The sequence below is a fragment of the Homo sapiens genome, chromosome 4, assembly GCF_000001405.40.
Source record: "Homo sapiens chromosome 4, GRCh38.p14 Primary Assembly".
Lineage (NCBI taxonomy): Eukaryota > Metazoa > Chordata > Mammalia > Primates > Hominidae > Homo > Homo sapiens.
The window spans coordinates 108,393,116-108,420,274 of NC_000004.12; the positions used below are offsets into that span (position 1 = coordinate 108,393,116).

Sequence of the window (27,159 nt, forward strand, 5' to 3'; positions counted from 1 at the left end):
TTCTGTAATGCTAAGCTGCAAAGTAGTAATTATTGAGGTTGCCTGTTCTTCCTAATATTTGATTATGAAAACTTCCTAAAATTTATTTAAAATTAACATGTTCCTTGTCATAGAAATAATACATGTTTACGGTAGAAAATCTAAAAGGTATAATAAGGCAAAATAAAAGGCGCATCTGATCTCACTACCCGAAGATATCATCATTGTTAAAATTTTGTGTAAATTCTTCCAGTCTTTTATCCATGCCTATATATGCTAAAATAACAGAGCAAAGACAAAATGCGGTCATGATGTATATGCTCTTTTAAGGTCATTTTCTCTCCTTAGCATTATACGGCAAACACTTTTCCGTGTACTTCAATATTCTTTTATGACATATTCAAGGAGGGCATCATATTCTATTGCATTAATGTATCATAGCTTTATGCAGCCAATATCCTATTGTAAGGCAATATGTTGTTTTCAGTTTTTGTTCAATTGTAAGCATTGCTGTGGTTAACATCCTTATAGCTAAATTTTTGCATACATCCATGATAATTTTCTTCAAATAAATTCCCAGAACTGGAATTTCTTGGTCAAAGATCTTGCAAAATATTAAAGCATTTAAGATATATTTGTGTAGTCCAAATTAAAATTTAAGTTTGCATTTGGCATGGGATTTGCTTTAGCAAATTTTTATACCATCTCTGAACTTTCACTAATTGCAATGTCTGTGGACTTTAATGGTAATCTTCTGAGCCAGATGATAAAACATTCACAAGATTGTTCCTATCGTTTTACTCTGTAGTGAGTACTTTAAAGAATTCACATTTACAGAAGAAGAAAATCAGAACTGAGGTGCACAAAGCTACATTGTGAGATGTGTGAGATGTACTGTTGTGGACAGACCCTAGGTGGCCCCCCTTCCCCCATGATCCCTGCCCTCTACTGTTTATGCCTTTGTGTAATCTCCTCCCCTTGAGTGCAGGTGGATCCTGGGACTTGATCCTAACCAATAGAACAGGGCAAAGGTGATGGGATGTCAAGCGTGTGATTAAGTTATGTTATAGAAGACTCCCTTTTAGCTGACTGGAGCTAGAGACTGTCCTTGTGGGCTTAATGAAGTAAGTGACTATATTGGAGAAGCCTACATGGCTAAGAAATGCAGGCAGCTCTAAGCCCTAAAGGTAGCCTCCAGCTGACAACCAGCAAGAGCTGTGCCCTGAGTCACACAGCTCACAGAACACAAGGAAATGTGTTCTACCAACAGCTTGAGTGAGTCTTGAGGTGGATTTTTCCCCAGTCAAGTCTCTAGATAAAAATGCAGCTTGGCCAAAACCTTGATTGCATCCTTTTGATATCCTGAACAAGAACCCAGTTAGGTAGTATCCAGACTCCTGACCCATGGAAACTGCAGGTAAATGTATATTGTTTAAATTGGCTAAATTTGTGGTTATTTGTTATGCACCAACAGATAATGAATCCACCTACCTGCCCTGAAACCAGTGAGCTTGCATGACTTTGACTTTTACCTCTTCAGCCTATTATCACCCCGGTCTTGCATCCCCTTCAAAGTAGCCCTCCACCCACAAAGTGCAGTATTATCTATATGGGCTGATCCTTGGTGAGTTAACCCTTAGATCCATGCCCCATCCTTCCCAGCTGCTCTCCTATACTGGAGGGGGCTGACTCCTGCAGGAGGCATTTCCAGGCTCCTGCTTCCAGCTGAGGGTGGAAGATGAAACCTCTCTCTCCCTAAGCTCTCTGCCTTTGGTTGTGGCTGTGTATTCTTGATGGCTCCTGCCCCCACAGGACAGGCCTTCTGTGGTTCCACCCTTTGTCAGGTTGCCTCAGCTCTTGGGAGAAACTTCCACCTCCTCTCTTTGTCTCTCCAGTCTAGGCGTGGTCGTGGCTCCCATTTGTGGCTAATTTCTGGTTTACCTCTCTTTTCTTCTATTTGGCTTCTTCGGTCCTCTGACACCTATGGAACCAACTCTCTGCATTAAATTCCCTTTGCTGTAAGCACTTAAAGCGGTTTCTACTTTCTATCAAGACTCCGGGTGACGCACACCCCACGTTCTAGAGCCTGCACCTCATTCTGCTCTGTACCGGGAGCAGCAGCATAGTACCTGGGTAATGTCAGTGCCAAACGGCACTGAGTGTGTTATATAAACAAATGATGGCTCTAGCAGTGCTTTCTGTTTAGGGGTTCTGCCAGGTGTCAGGGAAACAACAGTGAGTGGAACTGGGCCCCCATCCTTGGGGGTGCACAATCCAGGGGCAGGGAACAGACATATAAACAAATAATTAGATCAATGTGATAACAATTACAAGAGAAGTATATTCAAAGTGGAATGGAAGAAGAGTTGGAAGAAGCCCCAGGGTGGTGGAGGTGGTAATTGGTAGGGCAGAGAAAGAGTGTTCCTAATTAGCTAGGCATGGTGGGGTGAGCCTGTGGTCCCAGCTACTCAGGAGGCTGAGGTGGGAAGATCACTTGAGCCTGGGAAGTCAAGACTGAAGTGAGCCATGACTGCACCACTTCACTCCAGCTTGGGTGACAGAGCAAGACCCCATGTGAAAAAAAAAAGTGTTCCTATCAGAGGAAACAGCCTGAGCAAAAGCATGATGTCCTGGAAGAGCATAGTAGGTTCTCTTATAAGTGGGAGTAGTCACAGTGAGGTTTGCTTTTACTCAGCAACAAATTCATTTCAAAAATATCATGTAGAATTCTACCAGTCTACATGTACAGGTCAGGGCACTTTTCAGCTGCTACAGAAGGAAGTAATCTCATTTTGCCAGCCCATGGCTTTTTCTCCTTTCTTCATACCCTTCTTGCTAAAATATCTTCAGGACTAAAGCTCAATTGAATGACAGCCCCTCTGGCACTCAGCAGCCTCTCCTGGAGAGGTCTCTAAAGGCTGCAAGGGCAGGCAGTATGATAGGGTAGAAATAGAGCAGAGAGTATGGCCAAGCTATGGGCTAACAAGATGAATTTGGGTAGACAGCCAGGTCCATCACTTATTAGCTGTGTGATTTTGGGCAAATTTCTTTACCTGTCTAGCCTCCTTTTGTGTGGATATAAAACCTACCCAGGGGAGCAGGGAAATTATCTTGTAAAGCATATTTTTACCACTGACTAAGTGCTAAGCACTGTGCTAGAGTTTATTATGCATTATCTCACTTAATCCTTAAATAAGTCTATGAATGGGTGACTACTATTATTTCCAATTTAGAGATTTTAAACATTGAGGCTCAGAGGGGTTAAACAATGTGTCCAAAGTCACACAGCAATTGATGGGCAGAAACTTGAAAGTCCCTGCCCCTATTGTTACTTGAATACTGCCCCATGGCAAAGCATCAGGCCCGGTGTGAGGCTTGAATTAGCAGCTCAATAAATTTATGTTCTCTCCCTTCCCACTTTCAGAGACAAGGAAGCTGAGTTACTTTCTCCAGGCCTGATAGCACTATCCACAAGCACTAGAAACAAAATAAGAATGACAAAGAGCAAGCTACCAACTATATTATTTGCCAACAAGTTCTGAGCTTTGGAGATGAGGGTTTTTAGGGTACGAGGTACCAAAACTTCTGAAGCCAAAAGAAAGCCAAAGAATCCCAATTCCTGAGCAAACTCACATCCCCATTAAAGACAAAGGTGAGAAACAGTAACTCACTGTGCAACACCATTCTATGAAATTCTCATCCCAGGAGAAAGAAGTTATTGTGTATATTTTATAGATGTTGACCTGAGGGCTCAACTAACTTGTTCATGTCACTGGGAAGTGTCAGAACTGAGCATGGGGACCCAGAATGAGGAAAGGCGGGGCCCTGGGCTCCTCTGCAGTTGCCATTATCATCTTCTGCTCCCCTCACTCTCTGAGCTCCTGCAAGTAAGACCTGTGTTCAGCAGTGCAGCCTGAGGGACTGGCAGGCCTGAGTAGAATCCCAGTGAAGTGTCCTCAACTTCAAACCCTTCCCTGAGGGCTCAGGGTGTGGTGCTTTGGCAGCCTTTCTTTCTTCCTGCACTAGGATTTAGCTCTCAGAGAAAGGGGTGGGGGGAGGGGACACAGCCAGCTGCATGGGGATCAAAGACGTAAGGGCCTGGCCTGTCTGCACAAGTGCTTGTCAGCCAAGCATGCACACACACTACACACACACTCTACATGCATACATATCACATTTAACATACACTCAAGCATGCCACATGTAACACACCACACACATTCACACACCACATATAACACACACACTGTGCATATATTCACATATGCCACATATGACACTTGCCTTCATACACACCATATGTGACACACACACCACACACACACCCCACACTCATACATATCCCATATAGCACACACTCAAACATGCCACATATAACATACACACCACACACTCATGCACACCACATATAACTCACACAACACGCCTCATACCCTCACATTATACATGTACACCCCCACACATAAATATACCACACATACACCAAATATCACACAGAGCAAACACACTACAGCATACACACAATACCTCACACCACTTATTGAATATGCACATACAACACACATATATGCACCACATACACCGCGTTTTACATGGCTACATGTAACACACACTACAGAGCATTCATATCACTTTACAACCTTGTATCTCACATGCCACACACATACATGCTCAGTGCACCTATATACAGCACATACACACCACACATCCACATACCACATATTACCTCACACTGTCACATAGTACGCACAGAGCCCATTCACATTTATGTACCACATACACACCACACGTAAACATACAGGCTCCACAAATGTGATAGTACACATATACCACACCTCATGCTCTTGTATGACACATATTTGCATACCACACCATTTCACACATCACAGATAGACACACATACCACAACACCCCACACAGACACACGCTACAGACACCACACCTCACACTCTTGCATTACACACACACATACACCTTCCCACGGTCACACACCACAGATGGACACTCATACCATACACACTCCTTCATCACATCACATACAGCATACATAGACCATACACACACACGGCTTTCAATTCATTCACATCTAGGCTGCAGCTCCAACCCAAGAGTACCCAGTCATTGTGAGGAAAAGCCACAGACAGCCCCCCGAGGGGTTCTTTCTCTCTTCCTGGCATCATTATAGCCTCGTTGCTGGATAAATTAATTACAGAGTTGGAGAGACAGAAATCCAACTCCCACCCACCATCCCCCTGAAGTATCAACATTGTGGATCTATTTATGAACTTCCAAATCTGGAAGGTGTGACGCGCTTTGTCACTGTGCGGCCAGCACTCTGGCAGCAGCCGGAGTCTGGCTCTTTTATGTGGTGAGAAGTTATGCCTCTCTGCTCTACCCTTCTCCCCAGCATTCACCTGGAGTGTGTCACGATGGAGGGAACAAACGTGTGTAATGCCTGAGTCTGGAACGCGCCCAGCTATGGGGCTGCTGGAGACCTCGGTGTGGGAAGGGAAGTGGAGTTCACTCAGGCGGACAGAGAAGAATTCTTCTTGTGGCCTTAGCTTGCTCTTTGGTTAGAGGAGGGGATTTTGCCTGCCCACGAACCAGGGGATCCAGAGATGATTGTAACCCTGTTGTCCAGTCTTCCTTGATGATTATCAGAATTGTTTAGTCTTTGCAATTATGTGGAATGGAGAAGGCCATCCCGACAGTGGCGTTGTCTTATTTGATTAATATTGTCTATGTATTCAAGATACGTGCCTTATTCAATTTGGAGGGCTCCTTCATTCAGCAAGGCTGTGCCTGGAGGTATTTCATCTTCACTGGAAGGCCATGTATAAACTATATAAACTGGTGCTCTAGTAAACCTAACTGTCTCCGCAGCAGGTTAGATGTGAATGAAGTGGGTGGGGCAGAGAGGCTGTCATCCCAAGCCACAGCCAGGAAGGTGCCTCAGGAGGTGCGAGACAAGGGCCTCTCCCGGGGAGACGCCCCTGGGTTGTGGCTGATGCTGACAGTTTCCATCCAGTGTTTTCCTGGGTGCCGTTACTATGTTTTTTTAGCCAAAACGTTTCTGAGACCTTCCAAATTTCCCTGAGTCTGATCTCCTGGGAAAGTCAGGAGGGGCAGCAGAGGGAAAGTTCCCCTTTCTCTGTAGCTCTGCAGGCCACACGCTGCCAAAGGCGGCACGATGTCAGCCAAGGTGGGAGAATGGAGCTGAATGGTGTAGCTATTTGTTGTGTGTGGTTCAGAGCTTCAAAGCCTATTAGCTTTCATTAGGAGCCAAGTCATGACACCAACATGATCTACATAATGCTTAATGCAGCAGCTTCCAGATTTGCCCCAAATGTGAAGTGGGTGGTCAGGGCAACCTGTGGGCTGTTGAGGGAAATGTGAGGTGTGGAAAGAGAGATGCAGGATAGTGAACAGGTAGGAGCATTTTTTTGGCAGGTGGGAGGAAATCAAAAGGAGTGTTTGATAAATTCTTGGGGCCTCTTACGATTGCTGTCTAGCAGGGTGGTCTGGGTAACATTCAGGTCTGTAGTGGGGTAGCAGTTTGGTCAGCGACTCCCCTGAGACTAGGTTCCTTGATAAGCCATGTTCATTTCATTTCAATTCACGTTTTCTCCTAGGCCGCCTCCGCCAGCAGTAATATAAGGTTTCAATCTAATTGCCGGCTACTTGAGATGTGTCCGTCTTAGACACGGGGAGTTGGGAGGCCCACAGTGAGAAGGCAACTAGATAAGTGTTCCAGTGTGGAGCCAGCCAGATGGCTATTAAATGTCTTGTGAAGGAGCTGGGCCAGGAACCCGTAGGAGAAGGTTCCTGCCGCACAGCCGGGTCTGTGGTCACATTGCTGAATGTAGCCTCCCAAGAATTGTAGGGTGGGCTGAATGCTCCTGCTTCCTGAGGGCGTATATGTACTATGCATCCCCTGATTTCAAGGAAAAACTCAGGAAATACGTGGTCCAAGGAGAAAGGGGCCTCAATGGGCTTTTTTGTTGTTGTGATTTTGCAAGCAATCCTGAAGTGAATGCCCACAAACTGCCCACACAATATGAATAGCAGCATTCATTTCCCAGGGCAGTGAGGCCAGAGCCAGGCCTGTTGGGAGATCCTGCCCTCCCTCAGCCTCTGGGTATCTTCAGCTCTGTGGCCACTTTCCCCTGACGCAGGTTTGGGATGGTGCAAGCCGGAGGGGATTAGCAGATACCAGGAGCTTCTTCCCTCTGATCCCTGCTCTTGGACTGTCTCCTTTCGGTCTTGGACCTTTTGCTTGGCTTCTTCACCTCAGTTTCTCTATCTATAAAATGGGGATAATGGTGTTTACTTACTTACCTCATGAGTGTTATAGGAATTAATTACTGTTTGTAAAGTACTTTGAAGATGAAAAGTGTGATGTGACATCATCATTATGATGATGAAATATCTTCCATCGTTACCGGCCAGATTCTGCCAGATTCAAGCAAACATTTCATTTTGGGTTCCAAATGAGACCTTCACAGCCACACATGCGTGAGTCAGTGCACACACACATGGTCTCACGGAATATCGAGAGGTGGAGAACAACAGAAGCCATTTTCACCTAAGAAAGCCTTCTTCCTGTAATCCCAGCACTTTTGGAGGCCTAGGAGGGCAGATCACGAGGTCAGGAGATCGAGACCATCCTGGCTAACACGGTGAAACCCCATCTCTACTAAAAATACAACAAAAAATTAGCCGGGTGTGGTGGTGGGCGCCTGTAGTCCCAGCTACTCGGGAGGCTGAGGCAGGAGAATGGCGTGAACCTGGGAGCTTGCAGTGAGCCAAGATCGCCCCACTGCACTCCAGCCTGGGAGACAGAGTGGGACTCCATTTCATAAAAAATAAATAAATAAAAATAAATTTAAAAAAATTAAAATTAAAATAAAAGAAAGGCTTCTTCCTATTTATGGGGCAATGGTAGTCAGGAGATTCGGGGGGTGACAAGTGGCAGTGATCAGTGGCTCCAAGATACAAAATAGTCTATCATGTATATGGTTCAGCAGGAGCAGAGCCAACCATTTCCACTTCAACCATGTGCTCACGGTACACAGCATAGATGCTAATGATGCCTTCTTATGGATAATTTTTGTCCTTACTTTTGTGGTAGGAGAGCCATAACAGGTTGGGCATATAAAACCCATCTGCCACCTTGACTTTCACAAAGATGAAGTGCCTCTGCAAAGTTTCCTTCCATAAAAGGCCACAGAAACAAAAACATTCTCAGGATTTCAGTATCTTAAAGTATTAGATCATCCCTCTTCTCCAATGAGTATAATCTAACTTTTTGGAATGTTTAGAGGCAAAAAGTGAAATTTTGTCAAACTACCTTTTATTTGCATTCTGGTGTTGTCCTATGGCTGACTGTGGGAATGTTTTCTCATTCTTTGTCCTCATCTGGTTAAAAAACAGTGTGTGTGGCAGATTGTGTTTGTTAGTGGGGCTGAATATGTGGGGATGCTAGGGCGAGATTATTAAAGAAAGAAGGGTCTGTACTGGGGGAAGAAATCGGTTAAGTTAGAGTTTATATCTGGCCCCTGTGGTTGATTTATTTGAAAGTGTTAAGCTTCTAATGTAGCATAGGCAAAATTTACTTAAATCTAATTTTGCTATGAAAGAAAAATCGGCAACAACCCAAATTCCAGAAGAAACCATTTATGATTATGCTGTTTGTTTATATAATAATCTAGATACTTCTTTTCCTAGTAGAGTAATTACATCTAGGAAGCCAGGAGGTAACTATGCGAATTACCCTGAAGGGCAGGAACACCAGGTAGGGAACAAGCCAACTCAAATTATGTATTCAAATGGAGCGCACAAAGCTTTCCCGTTTATGGCAGATTGTGTTCTTGACATGGAGTTTGAAAATCCAAATACTGTAAGTCAAATGTGATTTCTAAATAGAAACCGTTGTGTAATAGGAAGTTAGGCCCTGGTTACAGGTATAATGGCCAATTGGTTTCTTTATTACAAAAGTAATTCATGTTCATGATTTTTAAAACTAAATAAGAAAAAAGTATTCATAATCCTTCTGCCTAGAGATAACCACTGTTTATGTTTCAGTGACACTGTTCTTTCAGAACTTAGATGTATGTGTTTTTTTTAAAAAATGAATAATACTGAACATAAGGTTTTATAACCTTTTAAATACATTTATTATAAAATTTTGCCACATTAATAAAATAAATTTTAGTGTGGGTTGATACAATTATAAATAAGGGTGGTACAGATTGCCATATGCATACTGGCTATGTATTTCTTAAAACTGGAATTTCTTGTTCGTATTCCAAGCCTATGTTTTTTATTTTCATTTTTATTTTATTTTTTATAATTTCAACTTTTACTTTCAATGCAGGGGGTACATATACAGGTTTGTTACATGGGTATATTGCATGATGCTGAGGTTTGGGATGCAAATGATCTGTCACAGGTAGTGAGCATAGTACCCAATGGGTAGTTTTTCAGCCCTTGTCCCTCTCCCTCTCTCCCACTTCTTGCAGTCACTAGTTTCTATTTTTCCCATCTTTACGTCCATTTGTACCCAATGCTTAGCTCCCATTTATAATTGAGAACATGCAGCATTTGGTTTTCTGTTCCCGTGTTAATTCACCAAACCTGTTTTTTAAAATGGAAAGTTGATTTTATTGTCATCATAATCATCATCATTAGTTCATTAGAGATGTTAAAAATGAAGACATTAACCTCTCATGAGACATGTTTTCCGAATATTTGTACAATTTTTTCTTTTAACTTTTATAGCATTTTCTTTTGAAATTTTATAGCATTTTATTTTGATTTAAGAAAAAAATGTTTAAATTTTGTATAATTGTATCTATATATTCTTTATAATTTTTGCATTGGTGTCATGCTTAGAAAACTTCTTATATCCTCAAATTATGTAAATATTCACCATTAACTTAGCCTATAACTGTATATGCACACACACACACACACACAGACACACATTTAGTTCTGAAATTATTTGTGTATGTCTTGTGGGGAGATTAGAAATACTTGGTAATTTTTGGTAGACAGAGTCCCAGGAATGAGGAACTAATTTTTCCTCATTTCTATTTTTTTTATTTTTTTTTCTGAGTAGGCAAAAGTAGACTTCACGTTATTTGGTTATCTGTGACCTTTCTAAGGCTTTCTTGGACTTCCATTTTATTAGCACGTACTCCTTCCCCTTTTTAGCAATGATGTTATAAAAATTACCTGTCTTGAAACTGTATAGCCAGTTTCCTATTTGCAGAGAATTTTCACCTTCTGATCCCTCTACATGTTGCTGCTCCATGTCAACATGCCTTCAAAATCTGTTTCAGTCCTGAACCTGTTGAGACCTTGGTTTGAATCCTGAATCCATAAAATGAAAATTTTGTCTCTTTGGCCATACTTGGTGTTTCAACAGTCCCTCGCAGAGCACTACTCTGTCTCAAATGCCAGATTCTACTTTTAGCTCCTATTATCTAGCTGAGTGATCTTGAGCAACTTATTTAATCTCTCTGAGCCTCAGTTTCCTCAATTGTAAAATGGGATTAATAATAACCTTCCTTAGCTACTTCACAACCTTATTGTGAAGATCAAGTGAGATCGTGGTTGTAAAAGTGCTCAGTAAGCTGTAAAACAATATACAAACATAAGGTGTTATTATTTCCCTTTTATTTGACATTATAAAGGATTGAATATGGTATTATGTGTGAGTATAAAGTAATAAGGATCATTTTTAAAGTAACATGCCAGGCTATAAACATCCAAATAAGTGCAATCCTTTCAGTAGGCCTCAAAAGAAGCCTCAAATTAACTTTTACATTGTTATGCTTGCCCAAAACCTATTTTTAACTTCCTTTGGGATAGTTGTCTTTGGGATAGTTGCACACATTCTCCCTTGGTGGAATATTTTCTTTCTTATTTACATACTTCACCTTTTCCTCCCACCCTCCTTTTTGCCTTGAACCTCCTGCTCAGAGGAGCTGAAGGGGATAGAGGCAGTGGTAGGCAGAAAGATCTCAGGCAATGGGGCTACATGGAAGGCAGGACTAGTCTGCATGACCAGATTGAAATTGGCTGCTGGAGAGTGTCTTTTTGAGGTCCAAATCAAGAACAAGACTGGTTTTAACACAGTTTTAATCTGATGTTTGCTGTAGACCTACCTTTAGAGTACTGGTAAATCCATGACAAACAGGAATACTCAGAAAGCAGACCTTACCCTTTGCTGAGGTCTGTCTGTTCAGTCTCATCAAGAAATATCTGTAGAATTATAGAAGGCGCAATGGAATAAAAGTAAATAAACCTGAATTCTGGTTCTGGCTCTGCAATAAAGAACTAAGTGACTGAGTGATATTAGGTCCTGAGGTTTAGTTCCCTCATTCTCCAAACAAGGAAATTGAAGGAGATGGTCTTTAAAATTATTTTATTTTACCTTGAAAATGCTAGGATTCCAAAAGCCTTCCTTGTCATGATTTTATAGAGGTACAAAACATTTCCTAGTTCTGCAACTTTGGGCAAGTTAGTTAATATATTAGTCCATTTGTGTTACTATAAAGGAATACCTGGGATTGAGTAATTTATCAAGAAAAGAGGTTTATTTTGGCTCATATTTCTGCAGACTGTACAAACAAGCATGGCACCAACATTTGCTTTACTTCTGGTGAGAGCCTCAAGAAGCTTACAATAATGGCAGAAGGTGAAGGGGGAGCCAGGGCATCACATGGTGAGAGAAAGAGAGAGAGCAAGAGAGAGAAGGGGGAGGTCCCAGACTCTTTTAAACAACCAGATTTCCTGTGACGTTACAGAGTAAGAACGCAGCCATTACCACAAGGATGGCACCGAAACATTCATGAGGGGTCCACCCTCATGACTCAAACACCTTCTACTAAGCCCCACCTCCAACACTGGGGAAATCATATTTTAACGTGAGACTTAGAGGGGACAAACATCCAAACCATGTAATTCTGACCCTGGGCCCCAAATAGCATGTTCTTCTCACATTGCAAAATACAATTATCCCCTCCCAATAGTCCCCCCCAAATCTTAACTTGTTCCAGCATCAACTCAAAAGTCCAAAGTCTCATTTAAGATTCAAGGCATGTTCTTTCCAACTATGAGCCTGTAAAATCAAAACAAGTTGTTTACTTCCAAGATACAATGGTGGTACAGGCATTAGGTAAATATTCCCATTCCATAAGGGAGAAACTAGCCAAAAGAAAGAGGCAATGGGCCCCATACAAGTCTGATACCCAAGAGGGCAGTTATTACATCTTAAAGTTTCAAAACAATCTTTGGGTCCATGTCCCACATCCTGGGCACATTAGTGTCCTGGACAGGTTCCCAAGGCCTTGGGCAGCTCTGCCCCCATGGCTTTTCCATGCTGAGGTTACAAGCTGCTGGTGGCTGTGCCATTCTAGGATCTGTAGCTAGTGGCCCCATTTCTACAGCTCTACTAGGGGCTGCCCCAGTGGGGACTCTGTTTGGGGGCTCCAACTCCACATTTCCCCTTAGCACTGCCCTGGTAGAGTGTCTCTGTGGGGGCTTCATCCCCCCAGCAGGGTTTTGCCTAAGCACCTAGGCTTTTCCATGCATCTTCTGAAATTTAGGCAGACACTGCCAAGCCTCCTTCACTCTTGCATTCTGTGCACCTGCAGGCTTAACACTACATAGCAACCACCAAGGCATATGGAGGCTTGCACTTTCGGAAGTGGCAGCGTGAGCTATATCTGGGGCCCTTTAAGCCACAGCTGGAGTTGGAGCAACTGGATGCAGGGAGCAGTGTCCTGAGGCTGAGCATGGTAGCAGTGCCTTGAGCCTGGCCCTTGAAACCATTCTTCCATCCTAGGTCTCTGGGTCTGTGATAGGAGGAGCTGTCCTGAAGACTTCTGAAATGCCTTCAAGGCTTTTTCACATTGCCTTGGCTATTAGTACCTGGCTCCCTTTTAGTCATGCAAATCTCTCTAGCAAATGGATACTTTACAGCCTGCTTCAGTTCTGCTCCTGAAAATACTCTTTTCTCTCTACCAAAGGGCCAGGCTGCAAATTTTCCAATTTTTTACACTGTGCTTCCCTTTTAATTAAAAGTTCCAATTTAAATCATTCCTTTGCTCCTGTGTCTGATTGCAGGGTGTTAGAAGCAGCCACACTGCTTCTTGAATGCTTCAGTGCTTAGAATTTTCTTCCACTAAATTTCCTAAGTCATCACTCTTAAGTTCAACCTTCCACAAAGCCCTAAGACATGGACACAATGTAGCCAAATTATTTGCTAGGGCATAACAAACCTTTACTTCACTTCCCAATAAATTCTTCTTTTCCATCTGAGACCTCATAGGACTAGACGTTACTGTCCATATTGTTACCAGCATTCTGTGGTCACAACTACTCTAAGAAGTTCCAAACTTTCCTTTGTCTTTCTGTCTTCTTCTGAGATCTCCCAACTCTTCCAGCCTCTGCTCTTTACCCAGTTCCAAAGCCACTTCCACATTTTTAGTTCACTTTATAGCAATGCCCCACTCCTTCATAGCAATTTTCTGTGTCAGTCCATTGCTGTTACTATAAAGGAATACTTGAGACTGGGTAACTTATAAAGAAAAGAGGTTTATTTTGGCTTATGGTTCTGCAGGCTGTATAAGCATGGCACCAACATCTGCTCGGCTTCTGGTGAGGGCCTCAGGAAGCTTACACTCATGGTGGAAGGAAAAGGGGAGTCAACACATCACATGTTGTATTAGTCCATTTTCACACTGCTGATAAAGACATACCCAAGACTGGGCAATTTACAAAAGAAAGAGGTTTATTTGACTCACTGTTCCATGTGGCTGGGGAGGCCTCATAATCATGGCAGAAGGTGAAAGGAACATCTCACATGGTTGCAGACAAGAGAAGAGAGTTTTTGCAGGGAAACTCCCCTTTTTAAAACCATTAGATCTCATGAGACTTACTCAGTATCACAAGAACAGCATGGGAAAGACCTGCCACCATGGTAATTGAATAATTACCTCTCACCAGGTCCCTCCCACAACATGTGGGAATTCAAAATGAGATTTGGGTTGGAGACACAGGAAAACCATATCACATGCTGAGACAGAGCCAGAGAGAAGGGGGAGGTTTCAGACCCTTTTAAACAACCAGATCTTCTGTGAATTCATAGAGCAAGAACTCACTCATTACTGTGAGGATGGCACCAAGATAGATATTCATGAAGGATCCACCTCCACGACCAGAATACCTCCTACCAGGCCCCAGCTCCAACATTTGGATCACATTTCAACATGAGATTTGGAGGGGACACACTTCTAAACCATGTCAGCTAACCTGTCTGAATCTCAGTTTCATCATCTATAAACTGGGGAAAGTATCTATTTTATATATATATATATATATATGTATGTATCTATTATATATATTTATATATTATTAGACTTTTTGTAAAAACTAACTGATAAAATGTATGTGAAAACATTTGGCTCAATGCTCAATGCTCAATTTCAACAGAGTAAATGCTCAATAAACATTAGACATACTTTGTTCTTTTCATTTTATTATTCTCATGGAGGAGAATTTACTCTAAATTTTAAGTTTATTTCATAAATATTGTCAGTATTACTATTGCTATTATTGTTATAATATCTCAAACTGAGACTTCTTTTCTATTCACCCTAGTTCTGTACTCCAGGGTCAGTTGGCAGCTATAGATCTGTCTTCAGCAAAAGTCTGAGCACTTCATTCTTCATCAATACTGAATAGATGCAGACTCTTTCAGATGAATCTGTGAGCTCAGATTGAGTTGCAGTAAATCTGCCAACATAAGTAATGCATTCTCTCCAAAACTTCTCTTTGTTCTGCCTTTTCAGCAGCAATCTGTTCTTCCTTTTCAATCTCTCTAGTATCACTGTAGAAGCAGAGATCAGGTATGACTTCCCACAGGTGCTCAGGGGAAATAGTGCCACACCCAAGCAGGACCTCATAGGCCAGCAACCATTATGTCAGATGTCAGACCCTTTTAGTGAGTACCCTCATTTTTGCACAAGATGTCAATATCCTATGCAAAACAGAGTTGAGGAATCTCTGTTACGTAGCGCAGTAGTGAGCAGGTTAGTAGCAGATGCCTTTGGAAGATATTAATATTCAGTTCACTAAAGGAGGAGGATCCTAGAAAGCTGCCTAAATGTTCTGGGAATAAAGTGTCCAACAAAACAGATGGATCCTAGGGCAGGAGCAAGCTCCAGTACAGCAGGCTGGTTAGTATACCTGGAGAATAATGGCTGCTGGGTTTTCAATTGTTACAATGGCCTGAGATTCATAAAGAACCTTCTCCAGATCCATTTTAGGTTTAATGTATAGATATCACCACTTTTCTTTTTGTGGATATACTTATCCATCTGAAAGCAAATATTGATGCCACCCAAGTAGGCTCCTGAAGAAAGGAATTTAAGGATATTCTTTTCTTTCATCTGTAGGAATCAGAAGTATTAGATACTGAAAAATTTCCCTTTAAGTTAAGCCAGTAACCAAAGACAAATCTATATGGACCTCTCTGTGAGTAATACAGAGTGTCTTAATTGTTATTCAAAAAAGTTATTTTTTGTTTCTGTTGAAGGATCTAAACAGCTGGGACTCCAGCCTGGACAACAGCATGAGACTCCATCTTTAAAAAAAAATTAGCCTGGCCTCTCCCTCTCTCCCTCTCCCCTCTCCCCTCTCCCCTCTCCCCTCTCCCCTCTCCCCCTTCCCACGGTCTCCTTCCACGGTCTCCCTCTGATGCCGAGCCAAAGCTGGACGGTACTGCTGCCATCTCGGCTCACTGCAACCTCCCTGCCTGATTCTCCTGCCTCAGCCTGCCGAGTGCCTGCGATTGCAGGCGCGCGCCGTCACGCCTGACTGGTTTTCGTTTTTTTTTTTTGGTGGAGACGGGGTTTTGCTGTGTTGGCCGGGCTGGTCTCCAGCTCCTAACCGCGAGTGATCCGCCAGCCTCGGCCTCCCGAGGTGCCGGGATTGCAGACGGAGTCTTGTTCACTCAGTGCTCAATGGTGCCCAGGCTGGAGTGCAGTGGCGTGATCTTGGCTCGCTACAACCTCCACCTCCCAGCTGCCTGCCTTGGCCCCCCAAAGTGCCGAGATTGCAGCCTCTGCCCAGCCGCCACCCCGTCTGGGAAGTGAGGAGCGTCTCTGCCTGGCCCCCCATCGTCTGGGATATGAGGAGCCTCTCTGCCTGGCTGCCCAGTCTGGAAAGTGAGGAGCGTCTCTGCCCGGCCGCCATCCCATCTAGGAAGCGAGGAGCGCCTCTTCCCCGCCGCCATCCCATCTAGGAAGTGAGGAGCGTCTCTGCCCGGCCGCCCATCGTCTGAGATGTGGGGAGCACCTCTGCCCCGCCGCCCTGTCTGGGATGTGAGGAGCGCCTCTGCTGGGCCGCAACCCTGTCTGGGAGGTGAGGAGAGTCTCTGCCCGGCCGCCCCGTCTGAGAAGTGAGGAAACCCTCTGCCTGGCAACCGCCCCGTCTGAGAAGTGAGGAGCCCCTCCGTCCGGCAGCCACCCCGTCTGGGAAGTGAGGAGCGTCTCCGCCCGGCAGCCACCCCGACCGGGAGGGAGGTGGGGGGGGGTCAGCCCCCCGCCCGGCCAGCCGCCCCGTCCGGGAGGTGAGGGGCGCCTCTGCCCGGCCGCCCCTACTGGGAAGTGAGGACCCCTCTGCCTGGCCAGCCGCCCCGTCCGGGAGGGAGGTGGGGGGGTCAGCCCCCCGCCCGGCCGGCCGCCCCGTCCGGGAGGTGAGGGACGCCTCTGCCCGGCCGCCCCTACTGGGAAGTGAGGACCCCTCTGCCTGGCCAGCCGCCCCGTCCGGGAGGGAGGTGGGGGGGTCAGCCCCCCGCCCGGCCGGCCGCCCCGTCCGGGAGGTGAGGGGCGCTTCTGCCCGGCCGCCCCTACTGGGAAATGAGGAGCCCCTCTGCCCGGCCACGACCCCGTCTGGGAGGTGTGCCCAGCGGCTCATTGGGGATGGGCCATGATGACAATGGCGGTTTTGTGGAATAGAAAGGCGGGAAGAGTGGGGAAAAAATTGAGAAATCGGATGGTTGCCGGGTCTGTGTGGATAGAAGTAGACATGGGAGACTTTTCATTTTGTTCTGTACTAAGAAAAATTCTTCTGCCTTGGGATCCTGTTGATCTGTGACCTTATCCCCAACCCTGTGCTCTCTGAAACATGTGCTGTGTCCACTCAGGGTTAAATGGATTAAGGGCGGTGCAAGATGTGCTTTGTTAAACAGATGCTTGAAGGCAGCATGCTCGTTAAGAGTCATCACCACTCCCTAATCTTAAGTACCCAGGGACACAAACACTGCGGAAGGCCGCAGGGTCCTCTGCCTAGGAAAACCAGAGACCTTTGTTCACTTGTTTATCTACTGACCTTCCCTCCACTATTGTCCTATGACCCTGCCAAATCCCCCTCTGCGAGAAACACCCAAGAATGATCAATAAAAAAAATAAAAAATAAAAAAAAAAAACAAACAAAAAAAAAAATAAAAAAAAAATAAATAAATAAACAGCTGGAAAGAATTTTGCTCTTATTCTTACCAAACCAGACAAACTGCAAATTTATGCATTTCCTTGAACCCATCAAGGAACTAAGGTTGCAGGGCAACCAGCTGGCTCCTAGTCTAAGGAGAAACAGGTGCCCCAGGAAGAGAAATGCATATACTGGCATACACAGGTGGATTCGACTGAACACAAGTAAAAGGAGTTCAATGGGGTGGTTGGGGATGTGGTAGAGGCCAATGGGGAGCTGGTGTAAGAATGGGAAGCTCCTTGGGGCATTGAAATTGCCTTTTTCAGGTTTTTCTCCACAAATGTCACCAGGTACTCCCAGAAAAAGAATGAAGAAAGTTAAGTTTAACAAGTTGTCCTTTGGGTGCAGCATGGAGGATGAGAAGCAACTGCTGTTGGAGGGGCAATTAACTCCACTCAGATGCTTTTCTCTCCCTTACTACTTATGGAACAGAAGCCTGATTCTGCGGAAGGATGGGCTATAAACACTGCTGTGCTTGGGGCACTGGTGAAAACACAATAAAACTATGGGAAGGGAATAGTTAAAAAAAACGGTGGGGAGCAGCCTCTGGGCCCATAACAATAGCCTGAGATGACAAGAGCACAGAGGAGGACCTCTAAGATCAGAAATAAGGCAAGGCTGTTCTCTATCCCCAGTCCTATTCAATATTATGCTGTACGTTCTAGCCAGTGCAATCAATACAAAAAGAAAGAAAGGAAAGGAAAGGAAAGAAAGAAAGAAAGAAAGAAAGAAAGAAAGAAAGAAAGAAAGAAAGAAAGAAAATAGAAAAATAAGATTGTCTCTATTTACTCGTGTCTGTGTAGAAAATCTCAAAGAATTTACAAAACAGTTCCTAAAACTAGTAAGTTTAGTAAAGGTTGCAGAATACAAGATCACTATAAAAAAATTAAATTGTACTTCTATATACTGACAAAGAAAAAGTGAACTCCCAAGTTGAAAACATATATGCTGGAGTGACATCAGCAAGATGGTTGAGTACAACTCCCCCGTGCTCTTCAAAGACAGCCAGAACAATGAATAAACAATTATGTTTTAACGAAAATAACTGAGAGGGACCTCTGGAGTGCATCATGGGAGTGACAGAAACCTGTTGAGCACAGAAACTAAGGAGGACCACATAGAGAATGTAAGAAAATGCCTGGCTTCTACCACTTCATCCCCCAACTGGGATCAGCTGGGAACCAGGAGGAACTTCTCCCTATGGTGAGGAGGTAAGCAAAAGGATCCTAGCAATCCCCATCAGCGCCCTGGACACCTATAAACCTCACCACTGCAGTCCTCTGCAGTTCTCACAGGCACCAAGCCCAGCTGAGGGAGCTGCCTGGAGTCCACATAGCTGTGCTTTCCACAGGGAAGGAGCTGACACTGTGCCCTCTCCCCTGTGACCCACACAGCTACTGTGCTACACTATCTTTGAACTGGAACTATGGCTGAAATGTGTCTTGCTTCAGGGGCAAGTAGCCACAGCTCCCCTTCATCCCTGAGGCTAAGCCATCACTGAACCACCCCAGCCCGGTGGCCTGACATCCACAAGTTGAGCTGCAAATAGCTATTACACCCTTCCCTGTGGAGCCAAGCAGAGGTGGAAGTGATTTGCTTACCCGTCCCTGTGCTGTCCTGGGCAGAAGCTGAAGAAAATAGTACCTTAGCTACTCAGAGAAGCCATATCTCTCTGGTACCTAAGCTGAAGCAGTGCCCTGCGTCCCTTGGAAACAGTTCCTTGACCACCCAGAATGGTCATGCACCCCAATACCTAAGTTGAAGTGGCACGCTGCATTCCAGGGAAATGATGTCTGGGCTTCCTGGAAAAGTCATGTCCCCCAGGCCTGAGCTGAAGCAGCACATCTTCCTCTGGGAAAGGAAAAAGAGAAAAAGAAGCTCATTTTATAATGACAAAGGGATCAATTCAGAAAGCGAATATAAGAATTGTAAATACATAGGTACCAAATATAGAGGTATCCAGATATGTAAGGCAAATGTTATTAGATTTAAAGGAAGAGATAGACTCCAATACAGTAACAGTTGAGGACGTCAATACCCCACTCTCAGCATTGGACAGATTATCCAGACAGACAGAAAATCAGCAAAGAAACATTGGATTTAAAATGCATTTTAAACCAAACGGACCTAACAGACATTTATAGAACATTTCATTCAATAGTTGCAGAATGTACATTCTTTTCACCAGCACATGGAACATTCTCCAGGATAGAACACATATTAGGCCACAAAATAAGTCTCAACAAATGTAAAAGAATTGAAATCATATCAAGTATCTTTTCTGACCACAATGGAATAAAACTAGAAATCAACAACAAAAGGAAATTTGGAAACTGTACAAACACATGGAAATTAAACAGCATGCTCCTGAAAGACCAATGGGGCAATGAGGAAATTAAGAAGAAACATTTAAAATTTATTGAAACAAATGAAAATACACACACAACACCAAAACAAATGGGGTACAGCAAAAGCAGCATTAAGAGGTAAGTTTATAGAAATCAACTCTTACATCAAAAGAGTAGAAAGATTTCAAATAAACAACTTAATGATGCATTTTGAGGAACTGGAAAAGCAAGAACAAACCAAACCCAAAATTAGTAGAAGAAATAATAAAGATCAGAGCAGAAATAAATAAAATTGAGACTAAAAAAATGCAAAAAATCAACAAAAGTTTTTTTTTAATGTAAACAAATCCACACACTATTAGCTAGGCTAACCAAGAAACAAGAGAAAAGACCCAATAAATAAAATAGAAATGAAAAAGGAGATATTACAACTGATACCACAGAAATACAAAGGATCACTAGAGATTATAAGAGCAGCTGTATGATAGTAAATTAGAAAATCTAGCAGAAATGATTAAAATGGATAAATTTCTCTATACATATTATCTGAAAAGATTAAACCAAGAAGAAATAGAAAACATGAGCAGATAAATTATAAGCAACAAGATGAATCTATAATAAAGTCTCCCATCGAAGAGAAGCCCAGGACCTGATGGCTTTACTGTGAAATTCTATCCAACTTTTAAAGAAGAAATAATACCAATTCTTCTAAAACTATTCCAGAAAATTAAAGAGGAGGGAGTTCTTCCAAACTTATTCTACAAGACCAGCATTACCCTGATACCAAAACCAGACAAAGACAAAACAACAACAAAAAACTACAGGCCAATATCCCTGTTGAACATAAGTGCAAAAATCCTCAACAAAATCCAAGCAAACCAAATCTAGCAGCATTATTAAAAGATTATTCACCATAATCAAGTGGTATTTATCCCAGAGATTCAAGAATGATTCAACATATGCAAATCAATAAACATGATACATCACATTAACAGAATGAAGAACAAAAACTGTGTGTGTCTCAATAAATGCAGAAAAGCATTTGATAAAACTCAATGATTTTTCATGATAAAAATTATCAACAAGTTAGGTATAGAAGGAATGTATTCCAATGCAATAAAGTCTATATATGACAAACTTATAGTCAGCATCATACTGAAAGGGGAAAATGTTGAAAGCTTTTCCTCTGCAACCTGGAACAAGACAAGGAAGCCCACTTTCATCATTTGTATTCAACAGGGTACTGGAAGCCCTAGCCAGAACAATTAGGCCAAAGAAAGAAACAAAAGGCATCCAAATTGGAAAAAAAGAAGTTAAATTATCCCTGTTTGCAGATGACATGATCTCATATGTAGAAAACCCTAAGTTCCACCAAAAAAAATCTCTTAGGACTGATAAACAAATTCAGCAAAGTTGCAAGATAAAAAATCAAGGAAAAAAATCAACAGGGTTTCTATACACCAACAATAAACTATCTGAAAAAGAAACCAAGACAACAACCTCACTTACAATAGCGATAAAAATAAATAAATAAATAAAATACCCAGGAATATGTTTAACCAAAGAGGTGAAAGATCTCTACAGAGAAAACTATAAAACAATGCTGAAAAAAGTTGAAGACACACACAAAAAAGGAAAGATATCCCATGTTCATAGATTAGAAGAATTAATATTATGAAAATGACCATACCACCAAAGCAATCTACAAATTCAATGCAATCCTCTATCAAAATACCAATGACATTTTTCACAGAAGTAGAAAAAATATTCCTAAAATTCATATGGAACAAGAAAAGACTGAATAACCAAAGCAATCCTGAGCAAAAACAGCAATAACAAAAATAAAAACAAAGCTGAAGGAATCACACTATCAAACTACAAAGCTGTAGTAACCAAAGCAATACGTTACTGGCAATGGAACAAAATACAGACCCCAGAAATAAGTCCACTTATTTTCAGCCAAATGATGTTCTTTTTCTTTTTTGGTGGGAAGTTCATTGATTTTTACAATCAAAATTCGTCTATGAATCTGATAAAGACCTTCAGACAATTTGAAGTTTTGCAAATAAGGTTTGGGAAGCCCTCTTGTAGACCAGTTTTGTCCTCAAGTCTGTCCCCCAGAAGCCATCAGAAGTCTCCATCACCCCTGGGCTCCAGATTGCTTTTGGCCCTACTCCCAGGAGATTTGGGGGCAGGGATCTCCCTTTCCTATTCATCGTTCTCACCCCCACCCTTTTCAGCGATGGAGCTGGAGTTCCAGGCCCACGTGGTGAATGAGATCGTGAGTGTCAAGAGGGAGTATGTAGTTCAGCTGGTGCCCTGCTTCCAGGTGCCAGTGAGTCAAGTCAGGAAGAGGATGACAGGAGGGCTAATGGAGGCAGGAAGGTGGGGGATGCAGGGCCAGAGGCATGAACCCACACCCCTGCTGCCCACTCCCCATCTCCCGCTGGAAAACCCCAGTTTTTCCCCTTCCAGTTGAGCCTGAATAACACAGCGCTAAAGTCCATCATAGCTCTATTGGCGCCTGAGGGGCACTTATATTGGCCGTCATGTGTAGGGGGGCTGCTGCCCCTCCAGGCCATCAAGCGCATTGTTTCCAAGATGACACTGCTGCTGGGCTACCTCTCTTACGCTCCTCCCTGGTGCAGGCCCTGCCCAGCATCTCCTGCAACCCGCTCCTCAGTAAGTTCTACTTCCTTACCTGGCCTTCCTGGTTTCTCCCACCTGCTGTCACCCATACCAGGGTGTTTCAGCTCAGCTCCCTGGACATCAGAGGCACAGGACCTGGCCCCTAACCATCCCACCTGCCCTCCCACCTCCAGTTTACTACATCAGCGTCCTGCTGCTGCTGCTCTTCCTCAGTGCCACAGAGATTGTGCTGCTGGCTGGGCTGCTGGCCTGGGGCAACTTTGGGGCTATGAGCAGCCCCAGACTAGTCCTGAGAGAGGAAAAGCAAGATTATGAGGATCCAGGGTCTAATCCTGAAAGTGGATGGAGGTTGAGGCACCTTCCTGGGGGTGAGGGGTAAGGAATGAGGCCTAAGTCCAGGTTGGAACAGAGAAAAACTGGCAGGTTGCCTGCCTAGGGCTGGGTGAGGTTGCTAGGTGGGTATGGCTCCTTGCACCAACCCTGCTGGCTCTCCTGTCCCTGGACTCCACCATATCCTTTCTTGTTAGAGGCAGATCTGCATCAGGGGCAAGCTTGGCCTCCCTAAAGGCCCAGGTGACCTCAGCTCTCCAAGATAACATGTTGCCTTGTGGAGCCTCTCTAAGATGGTGTTTTTTTCCATCGAAGATGGCCCGCAATGGACCAGACCCAAACGTTCATTAACTGAGACTTTCCAGAAGGGATAGAGTCTGATGACCCCTGGGGTTCATCCTTCTGCTCATGTTGGTTGGTGGGGGGAGCCTGAAGAATGACTCCTTTCTCTGCATCTTTGCCTCATGGAAGCACCCAGAAGAATAAAGTGGTCAAAGAGAAGCTGGGCTGAGACTGTTGACCGTGACTTCTTTCTCATGTATGTGGCCTGGGTGCTGTGCAGCCAATTCATCTTCATGGGAATTTGGATGTGAGCAGCATGCAAGTCCAACTCAGCCCCTAGAGAGGCTGTACCCCATGACAAGCAGCCAAGGCTGTAACTGCATTGGGCCTGGGTTGCAGACTTGAGGATGCAGTTTCGGTTTCCCATGGCTGGGGGTAGAGCCAAGACAGGGTCTCTGGAGAGCTGAGGAGGAAAGTCAGATCTCGTCTCTATCTCCGGAAGACCCTAAACCACCCTGAGCTCTCCCTCTGTTAGCATATAAGCAAAGAGCTTGAAATAAACCCATCCCCAAGTGCGAGTACACCTCAAGGGTCTGTCTTCATTGAACTCAGCTATTCATTCTGATCCTAAGTAGGTAGGCCCTTACTTTTCATCCCCACTTTTCTCCTGAATTTCTCTCCACTGTCCACCAGTCTCCCAGTCCATAGGCATGCAGCCTCACTTCTCCTTCTGCAACCATTGCTGTTTGGCCCTGGGCCAGGAGGCACTAATGCTGGGAAGTGGGAGACGGGGGCCTGGGAAGCAGGCCACAGAGGGTGGGTCAGGGCTCCTTTTCTGAATGCCTCCTAGAGAGTACTGGACCCCAGAGGGAATGGCGAGCAGGCAGGCACTCCTGCCCCCAGTCACCTAGGGGACTCCTAGGAGATGGAACAGCCCCAGACCTCAGGTCTGTGGGCAATGGGGAATGTGTTTTCTGCACAAAATCCAAGAGAACCTGATTGCTTTTCCCCAGGCCTTCTGACTACTCCTCTGAGAACTACCCACATTTCTGGACTGAAAAGGAAGTGCTAGTACCCATTTTTGACTGAGGCCAGAGGTAGGGCTGTTCTGCCCTCCTGCTTTTGGTACACATGAGGCAGCTGTGGGCACAGGCCTCTGTCTTCTTTCTCTCCTATCCTATTTCACAAGCTATCAGCGTCACAAAACCCAAGATGAGAAGGAACCCAGCTTTCTTGGTGAATGCTGGTTTGGTTGGAAACATGGGCTACGGGGAAAAAGCAGAAACCAAGACTAGAGGGCTCAGGGAGGGGGGCTCCTGGATGGGGCAGTGAAGACAAGTCTCTTTCCTAAAGGACTTCAAACTCACCCAGCCCAGAGGCAAGTTATCTGTCCAGTGACCTGGCTAGTCTGGCACAACCAGGCAGGGCTAGCGGAAGACTCAGGCAGAGGTGTTGAAAAGGTGATTGGTCATGTCATCCACCTGCTCCATGTGTATATGTACTTCTCCAGGCTCTTGGTGAAGGACATGCTGCTGAACTTGTGCCGAGAGGCCCCATAGGTTTCCTTGACAATGTTTTTTTGGGCCTGGAAAATCCTGTCCTTCTTCTCTGTGTCTGAAATAGCCCAGGCCTTTTGGATCTTGCACAGTTCTTCAAGGCCATCATTGAAGCCCTTGAAACACTCCTTGATCATCTGCTGCTCCTTTTTCTAGAGTTTGACTCCTGGTTGGAACACAAGTATATTGTTCTCTGTGAAATATTCAGTCACCTTTAGCCAGCTGCACTGGTAAGTCGGGATCTACTGCTCAATATGCTCCCAGTGGGGGTGCTCAGCAGTCTGCTGAGTCACAGCCACCAGCTAGATCAGCTCAGACTTCAGGAACTTGAGGATGTAGTTGTAGTTTTTATGCAGGAAGATGGTGCTCAGAGTTGGGTCCTCATATACCTTGGACTTGCTCAGCAAGTTCAACTGCAGGCTGCCCAGAATTTTACAGATATAGATGCTTAGCAGTCACTTGCTGAACTTGGAACCATGGCTGTGGCTGAAGAACTGGCCTCCTGGGAAGCCAGCATGTTACCCACCATCTCCTGGAAGTCCAGAAGCTGCTGCAGGAAGAGGATGACGTTGCTTGTGAGCATGGTGCCATTCTTGGGCATGTTGCATTCATTGTCGAGGTCATTTTTGATGTTATCCACAAAGTCCTCCAGTGCTTTGGCTCCAATAGACTCTAGGGAGATGATGAGGCCAGGTGATTTGTTCTTGCTGATGGCGGCCATGCCCTAGAGCACCTGGTCAAACTCAGGCTTGCTGTGCTTAGGCCCTGCGGGATGGAGAAGACAGTAAGCACCATGGAAAAGTTGTGTCAAATGATGGCCTCTGAGCAGGAGACAATACTCTCCCCTTCAGGTATCAGCCCATCCAGCACATCCTGTATCAGAGTCAAAGGTCTTCTCCTGATGGTGCTCAGCGATGATGTCAGCCAGCAACTGACACTCACTCTAGGTCAGCTTGACAAAGGTACTGACACAGTGAACGTAGGCATCAGTCTTCATGTCCACCATCTCTCCTGGCCAGCAGCCTATGCTTGTCATTCAAGGCCTCGGACAGGTGCTTAACTTTGAAATTATTCTCTTGACCTTCCAAAGGAAGGAGGTTAGAGCATCCCTTTTCTGCAACTAAGCCATGCTTGGAATGAATACTGTTTTCAGAAGGTTTTGAGCCTTATGACATCCCTGGCCACTTGACTGGCTTTTTGGCAGGTGTCTTTTTCCTCTTGTTGGGGATAGAAGGGCAGTAGGGAATTCCAGAAAAAGAACTGTTCTTCCAGAAATACTTCTCCAGGCCTTGATGAAGCGGTCCAGCTGGCTGGAGCAAATCTTGTAGTAGACATTCATAAATTCTTGGTTGCAGCTGTATTCCACCAGCCAGCAGGCGATGCAGATTACATCCTGGATCACACTCTTGGGCAGGTGCTCCAGGGACATAATCTCCTGTACCTCCAGATCATCATCACCACCGATCAGATCCAGGATGAGCACAGGTGATACAAACTTATTGTGCCTGGTCATCAGGCTGCAGAGCTCAGATGTGTGTTCTGGGCTGTCTGGGCTATTGTCCTGGAAATACTCCACAGCCTTCTGAATCTTAGCCATGCTTCCCAGATACTCTTCCGGCCTACCTGTGGGGCCCTCTCTGATGATCTGCTAAGTGTCACTGGCAACATGGTAAGAGTTGATGATGTGGTCCAGGATGGATAGCGTCTTCTCAAAATTGTCTTGCAGCTGCTGCAGATTATCTGTCTGCTTGTGCACCAGGATGATGGAATTCTCCAGCTTTATATGGTAGCTCTCATATGATGACAGGATAGACATCATGTTCTTGGTGAGCTGGTCACTTTTCTCCAGGCTGTCTTGAATATAGGACAGCACCTCCTCCTCCTGATTCAGCTTCTCTTCAATCTCTGGCAGCCAGGTGAATGCCTCCAGTGGAAGGATCATATCTGCAAACCCTATGGCTCCCACTTCCTAGTTTCACTCCTCAGCGCTCCCCACCCTGCAACTGACTATAAATAAAGGCACTAAGAGCATTCATTGGTGGGAGGGACAGTTTCTTCAATAAATGGTGCTGGGAAAACTGGATAGCCACGTGCAGAAAAATGAAACTAGAACCCTATCTCTTACCATATAAAACAATAAACTCAAAATGGGTTAAAGATTTAAATATAAGACCCAAAACTATGAAACTAGTAGGAGAAAATATAGGGTAAACACTTAAGGACATTGGTCTGGGCAAAGAGTTTATGGAGAAGACCTTAAAAGCACATGTAATGAAAGCAAAAATAGATAAGTGGGATTATATGAAACTAAAAACTTCTGTGCAGCAAAGAAAGCAACCAACAGAGTGAAGCGACAACCTGCAGAATGGGAGAAGATATTTGCAAACTATCCATCTGACAAGGGATTAAATCCAGAATATATAAGGAACTCAAACAAGTCAACAGCAAAATAA

At 44.3% G+C, this 27,159-nt stretch overlaps 4 pseudogenes; 1 reads left to right on the plus strand and 3 right to left on the minus strand.

The window, feature by feature from the left end:
* The first annotated feature begins 3,786 nt into the window (after nucleotides 1-3,786).
* ZACNP1 (zinc activated ion channel pseudogene 1) lies at nucleotides 3,787-23,527 on the plus strand (annotated as a pseudogene).
* On the minus strand, nucleotides 14,724-15,446 carry RPSAP34 (ribosomal protein SA pseudogene 34; annotated as a pseudogene).
* Nucleotides 23,528-24,589: 1,062 nt separating the features above from the next.
* On the minus strand, nucleotides 24,590-26,540 carry LOC124900168 (exocyst complex component 7-like; annotated as a pseudogene).
* On the minus strand, nucleotides 26,238-26,699 carry EXOC7P1 (EXOC7 pseudogene 1; annotated as a pseudogene).